At 46.0% G+C, this 15600-nt stretch overlaps 1 protein-coding gene across 1 annotated transcript in view, besides 1 other annotated feature; it reads right to left on the reverse strand.

Moving 5' to 3' along the window:
• EMP2 (epithelial membrane protein 2) overlaps window positions 1-15600 on the reverse strand; it is a 52177-nt gene that overhangs the window by 13555 nt on the left and 23022 nt on the right. The window contains exons 2-3 of the mRNA NM_001424.6: window positions 5564-5701; window positions 1594-1684 (exon numbers count right to left, since the gene is read on the reverse strand). Coding sequence (NP_001415.1) covers window positions 1594-1684; window positions 5564-5641 — 169 coding nt within the window. The 5' untranslated portion in view covers window positions 5642-5701. The remainder of the gene's footprint in view (window positions 1-1593; window positions 1685-5563; window positions 5702-15600) is intronic.
• Window positions 11144-11393: an enhancer, noted in NCBI's record as "active region_10382". NCBI's record gives its function as "activates an Ori minimal core promoter by ATAC-STARR-seq in GM12878 lymphoblastoid cells {active_cell/tissue: GM12878}" and the evidence as "EXISTENCE:reporter gene assay evidence [ECO:0000049][PMID:35858748]".

Genomic DNA, 15600 nt, shown 5'->3' on the forward strand with positions numbered 1-15600 from the left:
TATTGTTACTGAGTGTGGTGAGAATCTGGGACCCAGGGAGTAGGCTCCTTTGCTCCCTAATAGGATTGTCAGATTTGGCAAACAAACCAAAACAAACACAAAGACAGGATGCCCAGTACATGAATATCCGATGGACAACAAATAAATTTTAGGAGAGGCATGGTGGCTCCTCCTCCTCCTTTAGGCTGAGGTGGGCAGATCTCTGGAGCCCAGGAGTTCGAGACCAGCCTGGGCAACATGGTGAAACTCCATCTCTACAAAAATTACGAAAATTAGCTGGGCATGGTGGTGAGTGCCTGTAGTCCCAGCTACTTGAGAGGCTGAGATGGGAGGATCACTTGAGCCCGGGAGGTCAAGGCTGCAGTGAGTCGTGACTGCACCACTGCACTCCAGCCTGGGTGACAGAGTGAGACCCTGTCTCAAAAACAAACAAACAAACAAACAAAAACCAAAAAACTAAACCCTCCCCCCCCACCAACAAAACCAAATATTTTTTAGCATAAGTATGTCCCATGTTATATTAATATTTGGGCCATAGTCATACTAAAAAACAGTACTTATTGTTTATCTGAAATCTCTAATTTAACCGGGTATACTGTATTTTATCAGGCAACTGGGATCCCAAAGTATCTATTTCATCAGTTCTATGAGGAAAAACAGAACCATTCACTTCATAATGAAAAACAGTGGTTAGCATGTTTTTGAATGGGATTTTCTGTATTTTAAAGCCTTTTCATGTATTTTAGCTCATTGAAGAGGTGGGCACAGCAAAGGCATCATTATTACTTCTGTTCTACAGCTGAGGATGTTGAAATTGACATGCCCAATGCAAGGCTACACAGCTTGTCTAGGAACGGAAGCCAGATCTTGGATTTTTGTTTGTTTTTGAGACAGGGTCTCACTCTGTCACCCAGGGTGGAGCGCAGTGGCGTGATCTCGGCTCACCGCAACCTCCGCCTCCTGGATTCAAGCAATTCTCTTGCTTCAGCCTCCTCAGTGGCTGGGATTACAGGCGTGCACCACCACGCCCAGCTAATTTTTGTATTTTTAGTAGAGATGGGGTTTCGCCATATTGACCAGGCTGGTCTCAAACTCCTGACCTCAAGTGATCCATCCGCCTCTGCTTCCCAAAGTGCTGGGATTACAGGCATGAGCCACTGAGCCCCGCCAGATCTCGGATTTCTTACTGCTGGACAGGGAAAAGTGACTGGAGAGTAAATTATGGTCTCTGAGCCCATTTAGAGGCAAGGCTTGGATAAAAAAAGAAGGGAAGAGAAAATTCTAGATGAGAGCTGAAGCTGGAGAAAGGATGAGAACGGGAAACTCGGCTGTGCCAAGAGGCAGAGAAGAGAAGGCATGAGGTCCAACTTAGCTGGAGTTGGTCTCCCTCCAGCCTCCGGCTTCTCCACACCCCTGGCATCTCCAGCTTGTGCTGTCCTCCGCTCCAGCACACACTGAGCAAACGCGGCCAGGCCCACCGGAGTATGCAGTGAGTGGAGGAGAGGGTACGGAGTCGGGGAACCCGAAGCCTCACTCCTGACCGTTCCTTCCTCCCTCAGTGCTTCTCAGTCAGCTTCCTTCATTCACACTTACCTTGAAAGCTGTCATTGATGACTGTGCAATTCGTGTTGTTGGTACATATTCTCCAGACATCTGCAAAAAACTCATCTCCTACCCACCAGGCCTGTAACACAAAATGGAAATAGAGAGAAAGGCCGTCCGTTCATGATGCAAACACTGACTGCTAATTAGGCACGAGGCATGGTGGGCTTCCAGGATTCTCAAACTGCAACACATGTGAGAATTGCCTGAGGAGCTTATTCTAATGCAGACTGACTCAGGAGGTCTGGGGTGGGGACTGGGATTCTGCATTTCTTTCTTTTCTATTTATTTATTTTTTTGAGACAGGGTCTTGCTCTGTCATCCAGGCTGGAGGGCAGTGGCACAGTCTTGGCTCACTGCAGCCTCCATCTCTTGGGCTCGAGCAATCCTCCCACCTCAGCCTCCTGAGTATCTGGGACTACAGGTGCACATCACCACGCCTACTTTTTGTATTTTTTGTAGAGTCAGTGTTTACTATGTTGTCAGGCTAGTCTTGAACTCCTGACCTCAGGTGATCCGCCCACCTCAGCCTCCCACAGTGCTGGGATTACAAGCATGAGCCACTGCGCTCAGCCGGGATTCTACATTTCTTTTTTTTTTTCCTTTTTTTGTTTTTTTTGAGACAGAGTTTCACTCTTGTTGCCCAGGCTGGAGTGCGATGCATGATCTTGGCTCACTGCAACCCTCCCATACTGGGTTCAAGCAATTCTCCTGCCTCAGTCTCACGAGTAGCTGGGATTTAGAGGCATGCACCAGCACACCTGGCTCATTTTTGTATTTTTAGTAGAGACAGGGTTTCGCCATGTTGGTCAGACTAGTCTCAAACTTCTGACCTCAGGTGATCCACCTGCCTTGGCCTCCCAAAGTGCTGGGATTACAGGCGTGAGCCACCACGCCTGGCCAGGATTCTGCATTTCTAACCGGCTCCAGGTGATGCCCTGCTACTTTCTCCCAAAGGATAAGAGGTGGTCCAGGCCCTCAGAGAGTATGGGAGAAAAGATGAGGCTGAGTTGCTGGAAGTAATAGCAGTCAGGGGTGGGCACAGTGGCTCATGCCTATAATTTCAGCACTTTGGGAGGCCGAGGTGGGAGGATTGCTTGAGCCCAGGAGTTTGAGACCAGCCGGGGCAACCCATCTCTACAAAAAAATACAAAAAATTAGTCAGGCATGGTGGTGTGTGACTGTAGTCCCAGCTACTCAGGAGTCTGAGGTGGGAGGATCGCTTGAGCCTGGGCAGTAGAGGCTGCAGTGAGCCATGATCGCAACACTACACTCCAGCCTGGGTGACAGAGAGAGACCCTGTCACAAACAAACAAACAAACATTGCAATGGATGGGATGACCAGACAAGATTCTCCTGTCTTCAGCCAAAAGCATTCATTTCCCTGTGTGCTTTGGTGGCTGCTGCCCTTCCCCCACTGCCCAAGATGGCCTTCCTTCTACTTTCCAGTTGCCAAGCACAATTCCAAATACATAATGAATACCCTCAGACTCACCGATGGACAAAAAGTCCATCTGCATCTTCTTAGTATGTGCCATGATAATATACCCTGGGGGTGCTGGATACGATTCACTAAGGCTGATGGTTTTCCTGCCCCTAATGTCTGTCTATCCTTTTCACTAAGTCTGGGACCTTTTCAGGATCCCAAAGGACTAGATGGGAAGAAATAGAAAAAGGAGATTCTAAAAGAACATTCGGTCCCATTTATTTCACAGTGAGCTCCTGGAATGGTGGGTCCAAATACTATAATCTAGGACTCCCCAACCCATGGGCCATGGACTGGTACCTGTCTGTAGCCTGTTAGGAACCAGGCCACGCAGCAGGAGGTGAGCAGCCAGTGAAGGCAGCTTCATCTGTATTTACAGCTGCTCCCCATCACTCACATTACTGCCTGAGCTCTGCCTCCTGTCAGGTCACCAGGGGCATTAGATTCTTATAGGAGTGTCAACCTTGTGAACTGTGCATGCCAGGGATCTAGGCTGCACGCTCCTTATGAGACTCTAATGCCTGATGATCTGTCACTGTCTCCCATCACCCCCAGATGGGACCGTCTAGTCCAGAACAACAAGCTCAGGGCTCCCACTGATTCCACATTATGACGAGTTATATAATTATTTCATTATATATTAAAATGTAATAATAATAAAGTGCACAATAAATGTAATGCACTTGAATCATTCTGAAACCATCCCCCTGCAATGCCCCCTCCCCAGTCTGTAGAAAAATTGTCTTCCATGAAACCGGTTCCTGGTGCCAAAAACGTTGGGGACCACTGCTATAATCCATAGCAGCAATGTGGTCCCTGCCCAGGCCACTCACAGCAGCTCAGCAAGAAGCTCCAGAACCCAAATGCGATTATTGTGCTCATCTCCCCTGACAGGCTCTAGGACCAGGAGCCTCTGGAATGGCTCAAATCCTGGCTCTGCTGCTTACTGCACTGTAAACTCTGCCAAGTGCCCGAATGGCCCTGAGGCGCAGTTCCTTCACCTGTAACCCGGTGCAAGGAGATGTCGGTGCCCTACCTGGTACAGCTGGGGTGGGGATCACATGAGATGACATGCATAAAAGGGCCACAGTGATCGCTAAGTGACAGGCATTATAGTTTATGTTACTATTGTCATGATGATCCATCAACGGGAGCCGTATATGTAGGCAGAGTTGGTGGCCACTCGTATGGTGTACTTTTTGGCTTTCTGAGCAATGTTTCTGCCCTTTAATTATCTCTGCAGTCTAAAATGAGCAGGATGGAAGCCAGGTCTTTGGAACAGTGTATAGGCTGTTAAGAAGCTTCCCTGATGTCACTCCCTGTTTGGAGGGATATTAATCTATGCCAAGAGGTTATTTATCCAATACATTCCTGCCATATGGCTGCAAGCTGGATACTAAAGGGAAACATTAAATTTTTCATAGGGGCATAGGTAGAGTCTGGAAAGTTCCATGCATGAGCTCTGCTGGGGAGGACATGGCCGGGTGGGCTAGCAACAAGGGACCCTGGTTGATAAGGAGGTGTCAGGGGTTGGGGGCAGAGGTCACCTGGGATGGGTCACCTGGAAGATCTAGGGCAGCGGTCCTCAACAGAGGGTGATTTTGTTCTCCATGGGACATTTAACAATGTCTGAAGATATTTTGGATTGTCATAACCAGGGGTGGGGGAGCTACTGCATCTAGCAGATAAGGCCAGACACGTTGCTGAACTTCCTACAATGCACAGGGAGGCCCCTACAACAAAGGATTATCCAGCCCAAAATGACAATAGTGGCAAGGTTGAGAACTCTGATCTAGAGGAAAGCTGAAGTCACACAACATCCTCAAAGGGCTTCCTAGAGCCAGGCTCTATGAAAGAATCACAGATGGGAGGACAAACGTCCCTGCCTGCCAGGACCTGCCACCAAAACCTGAACATGGGACGGCCTGAACCTTCACATTTAGGCCAAGAGTCCTCAGCCCTTGGGTCAGAAGATGTGTGTGCCTTCGCAGGGAGGACAACCCCGAATCGTGGTTGAACCTTGGCAGGTTCAACATTGAGAACTTTGGCAGGGTTCTCAACCTGTGATATGGTTCGGCTGTGTCCCCACCCAAATCTCGTATTGTATTCCCATAATTCCCACATGTCGTGGGAGGGACCCGGTGGGAGGTAACTGAATCATGGGAGCAAGTTTATCCCATACTGTTCTTGTGGTAGTGAATAAGTCTCACGAGATCTGACGGTTTTATAAAGGGCAGTTCCCCTGCACACGCTCTCTTGCCTGCCACCATGTAAGATGTGGCTTTGCTCCTCCTTTGCCTTCTGCAGAGGCCTCCCAGACATGTGGAATTGTGAGTCCATTAGACCTCATTTTCCTTATAAATTACCTAGTCTCTGGTATGCCTTTATCAGCAGCATGAGAACAGACCAATACAACCCACTTCTATTGACTGCAGGACCCAGGTTTCTGCGTGAGTGGCAGGAAAGGAAACTTACATTGTCGACGGTGGCAATGAACAGCAAGGCTGCAGAGGTGATGTGGAAGGCGATGATGAAAGCAAGAAGCACCAACATTTTCACAGGGCAGGGCGAGTCGAGGCGAGGGGTCACGTTTAAAGCCCAGAGCGGGATGTGCTGAAGAGGGTAAGAAAGAGAAATTCAAAATCTGTCAATGACAAAACAAAATTACAATAAAAAATAAACACCTTTTAGCTGGGCGTGGTGGCTCATGCCTATAATCCTGGAACTTTGGGAGAAGGTGGGAAGATCACTTGAGCCCAGGAGATTGAGACCAGCCCAGGCAACATAGTAAGACACTGTCTATAAAAACAATAAAAGAAAATTAGCTGGGCGTGGTCGTCATACCTGCAGTCCCAGCTACTTAGGAGGCTGAGGCAGGAAGATTGCTTGAGACTGGGAGGTTGAGGACGCAGTGAGCCATAATTGCGCCACTGCACTCCAGCCTGGGCAACAAAGCAAGGCTCTGTCTGTTAAAAAGAAAAGGCAACATTTCATGGGGTCTTAGAAAAGCAAAAACAGTGCTCCCCATCTTTACTCGCCTGGAGACTTTACTGGACAAAAGTCTGGCATGAGAGGGGCTGTCTGCTGTTGCATCCAGACGACAAATATTCCTTGTGGAGGAGGAGGGTGAGGACCCATTAGAATCCCTAATTGAGAAAAGCATCACGTCTCTTGGGCAGGAAGGAGTGGCTCTGTGTGTGCTAAGATGCTGTTCCTGATTCCCCATGCTCAGAAGCTCATTTTCTGACGATTCCTGATCAGAGCCCCTACTTCATAACAAAGCAAAAGTGATCACAATACAGAAATATTTCCTAACGATCTGACCATTTATAAAATTAATCCCCAGCTGGGCATGGTGGCTCACGCCTGTAATCTCACCATTTTGGGAGGCCAAGGCAAGAGGATGTTAATTAAGCCCAGGAGTTTGAGACCAGCTTGGGCAACAGAGCAAAACTCCATCTCTACAAAACATTTGGAAAACTAGCCTAGTGTTATGGCAGGTGCCTGTGGTCCCACCTACTTGGTAAACTAAGACAGAAGGATTGCTTGAGCCCAGGAGGTGGAGGCTGCAATAAACCATGATCTCATCACTGCACACTAGCCTGGGTGACACAGCAAGACCACATCTCAAAGAAATAAAAATAAAAATAAAATAAAATAAAATAAAATAAATACCCACTCAGACACCATTCTTCTTAATATATATTCCCATTTGAACAACACTGGACCCCAAAAAAATACAACAAGTGGCAGACAGCTGCCATTTCATTTTCCCCTCTCTGATCACACAGGAAGACTATATTTCCTGGACTCCCTTGCAGCTAGATGGGGAACTCATTACTAATAGGCCAGAACTTCATGACATGGCCATTTCCAGGCTGATGAAGAGGGCAGCAGGTACTTGTGACTAATTCAAACCAATGGGCCAGAACTGCATGACATGGCCATTTCCGGGCTGATGCAGAAGAGAGCAGGTATGAGTTCTCCATGCTCCCTCTCCCTAAGGAGGTAGCTGGGGATGGTGCAGCCATAGTAGGTTGAAGCCTCACACCTTGGACAGATATTATGATTGGGGAATTAATAAACCTCTGGATGTTAAACCACTGAGATTTCAGGGTAATGCTTTACTTTGGCAGGACAGTTTGAGTGACATACAAGAGGAAGCAATTGCAAAGTGAAATTGGAAGTCTTACAACAGAACTACAGTTGTCCAAAGTTGATAAAAATGTCATGGGAGATCAGATGAAAAGCCACTGAGGGCATGAATACATGAGGACTTGTCTGAGCTGGAGAAGTTCCCAATAAATGAGGAAAAAGCATTCAAAAGAATGCTTTAACTATCAAACAATTAAAAGTCACACTGGGAAAAATTGATAAAATCTTTGAGTATTTTATAACCATCATCTTGGTCAACAAAACTCAAATGTCAAGGGAAGATGTCACATCAAATGATCTGGTTGGAAGATGCAGCCTCCTAATATCAACACTTGGTTCATTCTTCTTTTATTCCAATAATTTGTGACGAGATAGTTACTACATTTTTTTGGAAAAAAATTAATTTGTAGTTTCATGTTTTGAAGTACAGTGCGAATCAGACCTTCTGTTCACTGGGATGAAATTGTAGCCCCAGTTTTAAATGGATTAATGCACGCACACACACACACTCACACACACACACACACACATACACTGTCTCTCTTTTTCTGAACCACTTGAGAGTAAGTTGCCTAAACCATACAACTAAGTGCTTTAGTGTGTATTTCTGAAAAACCAAGGACATTTTCTTTCTTTTCTTTTCTTTTCTTTTTTTTTCTTTTTCTTTTTTTTTTTTTTTTTTTTGAGACAGAGTCTCACTCTGTTGCCCAGGCTGGAGTACAGTGGTGCGATCTCAGCCCACTGCATCCTCTGCCTCCCAGGTTCAAGTGATTCTCCTGCCTCAGCCTCCTGAGTAGCTGGGACTACAGGCACGTGTCACCACGCCCAGCTAATTTTTGTATTTTTAGTACAGACAGGGTTTCACTATGTTGGCCAGGCTGGTCTCGAACTCCTGACCTCAGGTGATCCGCCTGCCTCGGCCTCCCAAAGTGCTGGGATTACAGGCGTGAGCCACCGCACCTGGTTGCACATTTTCTTACATAACCACACTATGATGATCACAATGGAGAAATTTAACGTGATACAATATAACTATCATATCTACAGTCCATAGTCAAATTTCCCCAATTAACCCAATAATGTTCTACATGGCTTTCTTTTTCCTGCCCCAGGATCCAATCCAAGCTGATACACTGCATTTTCGTTTCAGGTCTCTTTAGTCCCCTTTAATCTGGAATACTTCCTCAGGTCTGTCTTTGTTTTTCATAACATTGATATTATTTAAGAATATTGACCACTTATTTTGTAGAATGTCCCTCAAATTTGTGTTCGATGTTTCCTGATGATTCGATCCAGATTATATTTTTTAAGCAGGAATGGCATATGAGCCATGTGTCCTCAATGGATCCCACCAGGAGGTGCAGTATGCCAGTTTGTCCCATCATTGGTGATGCTAACTTTGATCACTGGGTTGTGTTCTGCCAGATTCTTTCACTGTACATTTCCCCTTTGTCATTAAAAAATACTTTGTAAGGCTGGGCATGGTGCCTCATGCTTGTAATCCCGGCACTTTGGGAGGCCGAGGTGGGTGGATCACCTGAGGTCTGGAGTTCGAGACCAGCCTGGCCAACGTAGTGAAACCCTGTCTCTACTAAAAACACAAAAATTAGCCGGGCGTGGTGGTGGGCACCTGTAATTCCAGGTACTCAGGAGGCTGAGGCAGGAGAATCACTTGAACCCAGAAGGCAGAGGTTGCACTGAGCCAAGAACGCGCCACTGCACTCCAGCCTGGGTGACAGAGAGAGATTCCATCTCAAAAAAAAAAAAATTGTAGAAGTGATATTTGATAAAATACACATAACATTTACTATTAGTGTAAATGAGACACATTACATTCCCAATATTGTATATCCATCACCACTATCCAGTTCTAGAACGTTTCATCACCCCCAAAGTAAATTGTGTACTCACTAAGCAGTTATTCCCTATTCTCCCTTCCCCCAACCCCCAGCAACAAATAATATACTTTCTGTTTCTATGGATTTGTCTATTTTAGATATTTCATATCGTTGGAATCATACAATAGTGTGGCCTTTTGTGTCTGTCTTCTTTCATTTAGCACAGTGTTTCAAAGGTCCATCCATGATGTGGCATGTGTGGGAAGGTATTTTGAGATAATGTAAAGATCCTCTCTCAAGAAACTTTCACTCAGAGTTTAAGCATTCACTGATATTTCTGAAATAGGATTTTCGTTTGTTTGTTTTTGAGACAGAGTCTTGCTCCGTTGCCCAGGCTGGAGTGCAGTGGCACAATCTCGGCTCACTGCAACCTCTGCCTCCCGGGTTCAAGCGATTCTCCTGCCTCAGCCTCCCCAGTAGCTGGGACTACAGGCACGTGCTACTACGCCTGGCTAATTTTTGCATTTTTAGTAGAGACAGAGTTTCACTGTGTTTGCCAGGCTGGTCTCAAACCCTTGACCTCATGTGATCTGCCTGCCTTGGTCTCCCGAAGTGCTGGGATTACAGACGTGAGCCACCATCCCCAGAGCAAAATAGGATCATTTTAAAAGGCCTTTTTCTGGTACCAACTATTCCCCCTCCTCTAGTGGACATGCACTGACTGCACAAACCCTCCACCTTTTCACTGCCAGCTCTCCTCTCCAACCATGCTCATTCTCATCCCCATTATCCCCCCACGGAATGGATCAAGGCTCATGGGCTCATACAGGGTCCACTCCTTGAGACCCAGGACACACTAACAATGAGCCAGGAGCTGTATGGCTGCAGAACTCAGTCTGAGAGGTCCTGGCTGTGATTCTGTGCATCACCAATTAGAAGGACCCAATGAACCAGCTTGGAGATTCTTCTAATTCTTTCAAAAAAGACAAATTCCCCTTTGTTTAGGCCTGCGTCATTCTTAGCTGCCACCATATGCTGCTGCCTCCAAAATGATGCATTCCCTTTTTTTTTTTTTTTTAATAGATGCATTTCTGACCCTGGGGGGAAAAAGGGCTCATGTACCACGCTGAATGCCCTGTTACTTTAACATCAGCAGGAATGCCCAAATGCCAACTTCACCAGGGCCATTAACTCCAGGGTGATAATAGCTTCATATGTTGTCCAGCTGGGATGACACAAATGCATATGGACATGTAACTAAAACTTTCTAGAAAATAATAATTAAAAAGAAAAAAGGTTTTAACCCATTCTTTCCCAAAGGATGGAATTAAAATGTTATAAGGCATGATTTTGGACAGTGCATTGATAGGGCATTAAGCAACATTGAACCACATGGTGAAAAAGTTCCCATTCCAATCCTACTGAGTTCACCAAGGAAAAGACCCAGTTTGGTGCTAGTCAGTCTCCAATACTTGCTAATTTCTTTTTGACAAAAAGAGAAAACAGATCTTTGGTTAAAATGTATTTGTAGCTAGAATTTAATAGCATCATTCTGAGTTTATTGTATTTATTTTTAACGTTCTTTCTTTTTATAAGGAAGAAACACCACGTATAGCAGTGATATAAAGTATTTTAAAACCAAGTTATTGAAGCTTTAAAAGTGAACAATTTAGGGAAAATGTTATGTAAGTAAAAGGACAGGTGGTCCTCAGTGTCAGTAGAAATCCTCAGGGTGGTTGTCAAATGCTGATGTCTGGGAAGTACTGCTTTAAGCTCTGGGAATGGTTTCAGATGGACATTTCAGACATCAGGAACAAGCTTCTACAGAGAAAGGGATACGTTTTCAAGAGAAGTCAAGTAAGGTTTCTAGTACATGTAAAGGAAATGGCAGTTAGAGGTTGGTTTCAACCATTAGGCACTCCGAAAAACAACAGAGAAGTAAAGGTCTCCTATGACATCTGGAATTCAGATCTCCAGTAAAAACCAAAATGCGGTAGCTCAATTTTAGGACTTGTGAACCCAGGACATTGCTGGTGACTTCACCCGAGGCTTTGGAGGAAGTTATTCACAAGTAGCGGAAATCCCCCGAATGTTTAAGAGGGAATAAAAATAACCCTTTACTCCTGCATCTCTATACCAAAATAAGTCTCCCTTCTGCGCCACTATTCCCGACGCCAGTCAGCCACTGCCCTCTTAGAGGCAACCACGCTTCTCAGTTTCCTGTGCCTCCTTCCAGAGATATTGATTGCGAGAACACTTATTCTTCACTCCACGTTTCCGTGTGGCGGTAGCCGTACCAGAGTAACACTCTCTGCCTCGTCCCGCCCCTCACTCATCTCTTCACACCTGATTGGAGGAAACGCCACTGTCCGCTTTCTGGATTGGTGGAGTGCATTTATTCAGGCCCCGGTGCAGTGCTTTGCCCTTCCCGGCACCTTCTCCTGGGCATGGCTGCTCCCACCGAGCCCCAGTCAACTTTCTTTGGCTGGAGGGGCCGAAGGCTAGTAGGGGACAAGAGTGTGGAGCTGGGAGCTCCAGCAAGCTCCTTTGGCCACAAGTCTAAGCCGCATCCTCCAACCTAGCTTTTCTAATAATATCCCTCAGAGAACATTCTTTCCCTGTGCCTACGAATCCACCTCATTCCTTGGGCTGCCTGGTGTTTTGTTGTGCGGCTACACCACAATTTACTTAACTGGTTCCCTATTGGTAGCCATTTAGGTCGCTTCCGGACTTTCTGCGGCTCCATACGGCACTGCCAACGAGCAACCTTCCACTTATTTCTTTGCACACATTGCATTGATATATTTAAAGATAGATTCCTAATAGTGAAGGCGTTGAAGCAAAGAGTATGTGCATTTATTTTTGTGATTTAAACAATTTAACTTACTGCCATGTATACTGGACACTGTTCATACTGTGTCAGCCCTGATCTTCAGAGGGTCTTCAGACAGTATCAAAACCTTTTTTTTCTTTCTTTCTTTTTTTTTTTTTTGAGACGGAGTCTCGCTCTGTCACCCAGGCTGGAGTGCAGTGACGTGATATCGGCTCACTGCAACCTCCACCTCCCGAGTTCAAGCGATTCTCCTGCCTCAGCCTCCTGAGTAGCTGGGATTACAGGCATGGGCCACCATGCCCAGCTAATTTTTGTATTTTTAGTAAAGACAGGGTTTCACTATGTTGGCCAGGCTGGTCTCGACCTCCTAACCTCAGGTGATCCACCAGCCTTGGCCTCCCAGAGTGCTAGGATTACAGGCGTGAGCCACCGTGCCCGACCAAGCACTGGATCAACTCTTAAGCATTTATGTGAGTGGGTGGAGAAGCCTTGATGTTATGTCTTTGGCTCCTGACATAAGTTGCCCCCAAGAAATATAATTCTGGTCCCTAGAGACCAGCTTCCCCAGGGCTTTTCCAAGTGGTGCTGTCTCCTTGCCACTACATACACCCATGTTGCATCCTGCCCTCTCTGATGATACGAAAGAACAAACAAACAGTTCCCGGGGCTGTGTGTTGGATGAAGACTGGTCCACCAAGCCCAGGGTGGCATCAGAATTAATCCTTGCCATTCACAAAAAGTTATTTTCCCTTCGAAAAATGTAACAGTAAATACAGATCCATCTCCTTCCCCCACCACACCCCAACCCCTATGCCTGCCCTTGTGCCTGCAGGCTTCAGTGCTCTGCTGCTTTAGGGGAACTAGTCTTGTCTCGGTTCCCCTGAACACGGTTCCCTGGAGCGGTCTCTCCGTTTCACCCTCAGCTGGCTCTCTGGCATTGTCTAGGTCTTAATTCAAACATCATCTCCCCAGAAAAGCACCCCTGAGCATACCGTGTAAAGTAACCACGCCCCCTCCAGCATAATCTAGCCCATCCCCCTAGTTTATTTTCTTTGGAGGATTGCATGGTCTGAAAGCATCTTATTCGTTCAGTTGTTTATTGTCTCTCCCCCTCTGACAGCTATTTGCTATCATTGTCCAGTTCTAGAAATGTAGAGCTGTAAAGGCCCTTGGAAAACTCAAAGCCCTATTGTCCAGAGGTATTAACAGAAACGAAGGAGGGCCAAGACTTGCTCCATCTCACAGCAAAGCAGGAACAAGGTCAGGACTAGACCAGGGTCTCCTGGCTACTCCTCCAATCACCCTATCTCAGTGGGATACTCCTCAGAATGCCCACGACAATCTTTCAGGAGTCAGTGATGTTCCCCAAAAGCCTCTGCCACTTTGAAGCATAACTTTCGCTGTGGAATGCAAACTGCTTTTTTCCTTCTTCAATTTCTTTAGGGGCCAAGCAGAACATTCTAAAAGGCCACCTGAGTTTGGGCGCTTACCCACCTGAAGGTAGGAGACTGCACTAGATGAAGTGTTCAAGTTTCTGTATAGAAATCAAAGTCCTATGATTTGCAGAACTTCTCTTTTAAAAATGTTTTGATCTACATAAAATGATGATTTTTAAAAGAAGATAACAGAACCAAAAGGTATATGGTGTAAAACAGTCTTCTGTCATACCCCTGTCCTACAACCTGGAAGCAGTCACTTTTTTTTTCTTTTTTTTTGAGATGGAGTTTTGTTTTTTTTCCCAGGCTGGAGTACAATGGAGCGATCTCGGCTCACCACAACCTCTGCCTCCTGAGTCCAGGCAATTCTCATGCCTCAGCCTCCCAAGTAGCTGGGATTACAGGCATGCGCCACCACGCCTGGCTAATTCTGTATTTTTAGTAGAGATGGGGTTTCTCCATGTTAGTCAGGCTGGTCTTGAACTCCCAATCTCGGGTGATCTGCCTGCCTCGGCCTCCCAAAGTGCTGGGATTATAGGCATGAGCCATGACACCTCGCCAAAGCAATCACTTTTAATCTTTTCAGCTGTTTCTACTCTTCTTCCCTTCTCCATATTTCCAAACAATACTCATGCACTTCTATTTCTTGGTTAACTTAATTATTAACTTCCTGCTTAGGGAAAAGTGTCTCTTTTTCACCATCATTTGCACCCCATCTCCTTCCTTCCATCATCTCAATACAGTCTACATTTAGATCAATAATTGTCATTTACATGATTGCTATATAAATATTGTACTCTACAGAGCCAAATAGTGTACTATGATTGCACTTTTCCTTGAAAAACTCCTTTTCCCCTAGCATTTCCAGTTTCCTTCCTTCTTTTCTTCCCTCCATCTTTCCTTCCTTCTTGTCTGTGGTTCCATCTATTTTCCATATTGCTTCAGTTCCTTCCAATTTTTTTTAAAATCATTTCAAGTCTTCTGTTGCAGAACCCCAAACGCAACAAATGTATGGTTTTGGTTACAAGCCTGCGGTTGGCCTGATTCTTTGCAGTGCACATTCTCCAGCCAGTCTCTCTCCTGACTCTGCCTTTCCCTGCTGCCTGCCAGGTGCAGCCTCAGCAACTGCTGCTGTCACAGGACAAGTAGGACAAGCAATCCATGTGTGGCACTTTTCAGGGAAGACAGCAAATTCACTTCTAACTGTGGGCAGGACAGAGGGGTTCAACATAACCCCAAGATAAGTAGGCAATAAGGCAGATCCCTGGGGAAGGGGTGCCCACAGGGGTCATGCCACATGAAAACGAGACTCCTCATGACTAAAGGTCAAGCTTCAGCTTACACAGCACATGCTGCACAGGATTTTCATGTCAATCTTATGATGCTGGCAGAGCAAGGTATCTTTATCCCCATTTTACAGATGAGAAACCAAGGGTCCTAATGGTTCTGGGTGATTTGCCAAAATTCACAGGACTGGAACTCACTAGTTTTCCAGTTCCAAATACAGGGCATTTTTATACGACTCTCTTTCCTCTCACATGCTTAGGGCCTGGTGAAAACCATGCAGCAACCTAATTAAGATCAGCAGAGAGGGCACAAGGCAGTATCAAATCATCTTTGTGTCCACTGAGCTTTGTACCAGGCAGGGGGAATCTGTGAAGGCAACCTCTCTCTGCACTGGCCCATTCGCTAAGGTTGAGGGATGACTGGGCTAATTAAGAGAGGGCCTAAAAAAGAATCGTGCTTTAGGCTGGGTGCAGTGGCTCATGGCTATAATCCCAGCACTTTGGGAGGCTGAGGCGGGCAGATCGCTTGAGGCCAGGAGTTCGAGACTAGCCTGGCCAACATGGCAAAACGCTGTCTCTACTAAAAATACAAATATTATCCAGGCACGGTGGCAGATGCCTATCGTCCCAGCTACTTGGGAGGCTGAGGCATGAGAATCGCCTGAACCCGGTAGGTGGAGGTTGCATTGAGCCGAGATCCCACCACTGCACTCCAGCCTGGGTGACAGAGTGAGACTCCATCTCAAAAAAAAAAAAAAAACCCAGAAAACAAACAAAAAAACCCCATGCTTTAGGCTGCATAGGGTTGGCTGCATTTTTCATCCTGTTAGCTCACTGGCCAAGCTGAAGCGCTTGCTGTCTTTTTTGATCTAACTTTGAGACTGGTTTGGATTATGGATAAAGTTTTTCCTTGGTATCTAAAAGGAACTAAGCACATGTGGTAGAATGGGTTCAATTCTCTTTT

This window comes from Homo sapiens, chromosome 16 (genome assembly GCF_000001405.40).
Source record: "Homo sapiens chromosome 16, GRCh38.p14 Primary Assembly".
Taxonomy (NCBI): domain Eukaryota; kingdom Metazoa; phylum Chordata; class Mammalia; order Primates; family Hominidae; genus Homo; species Homo sapiens.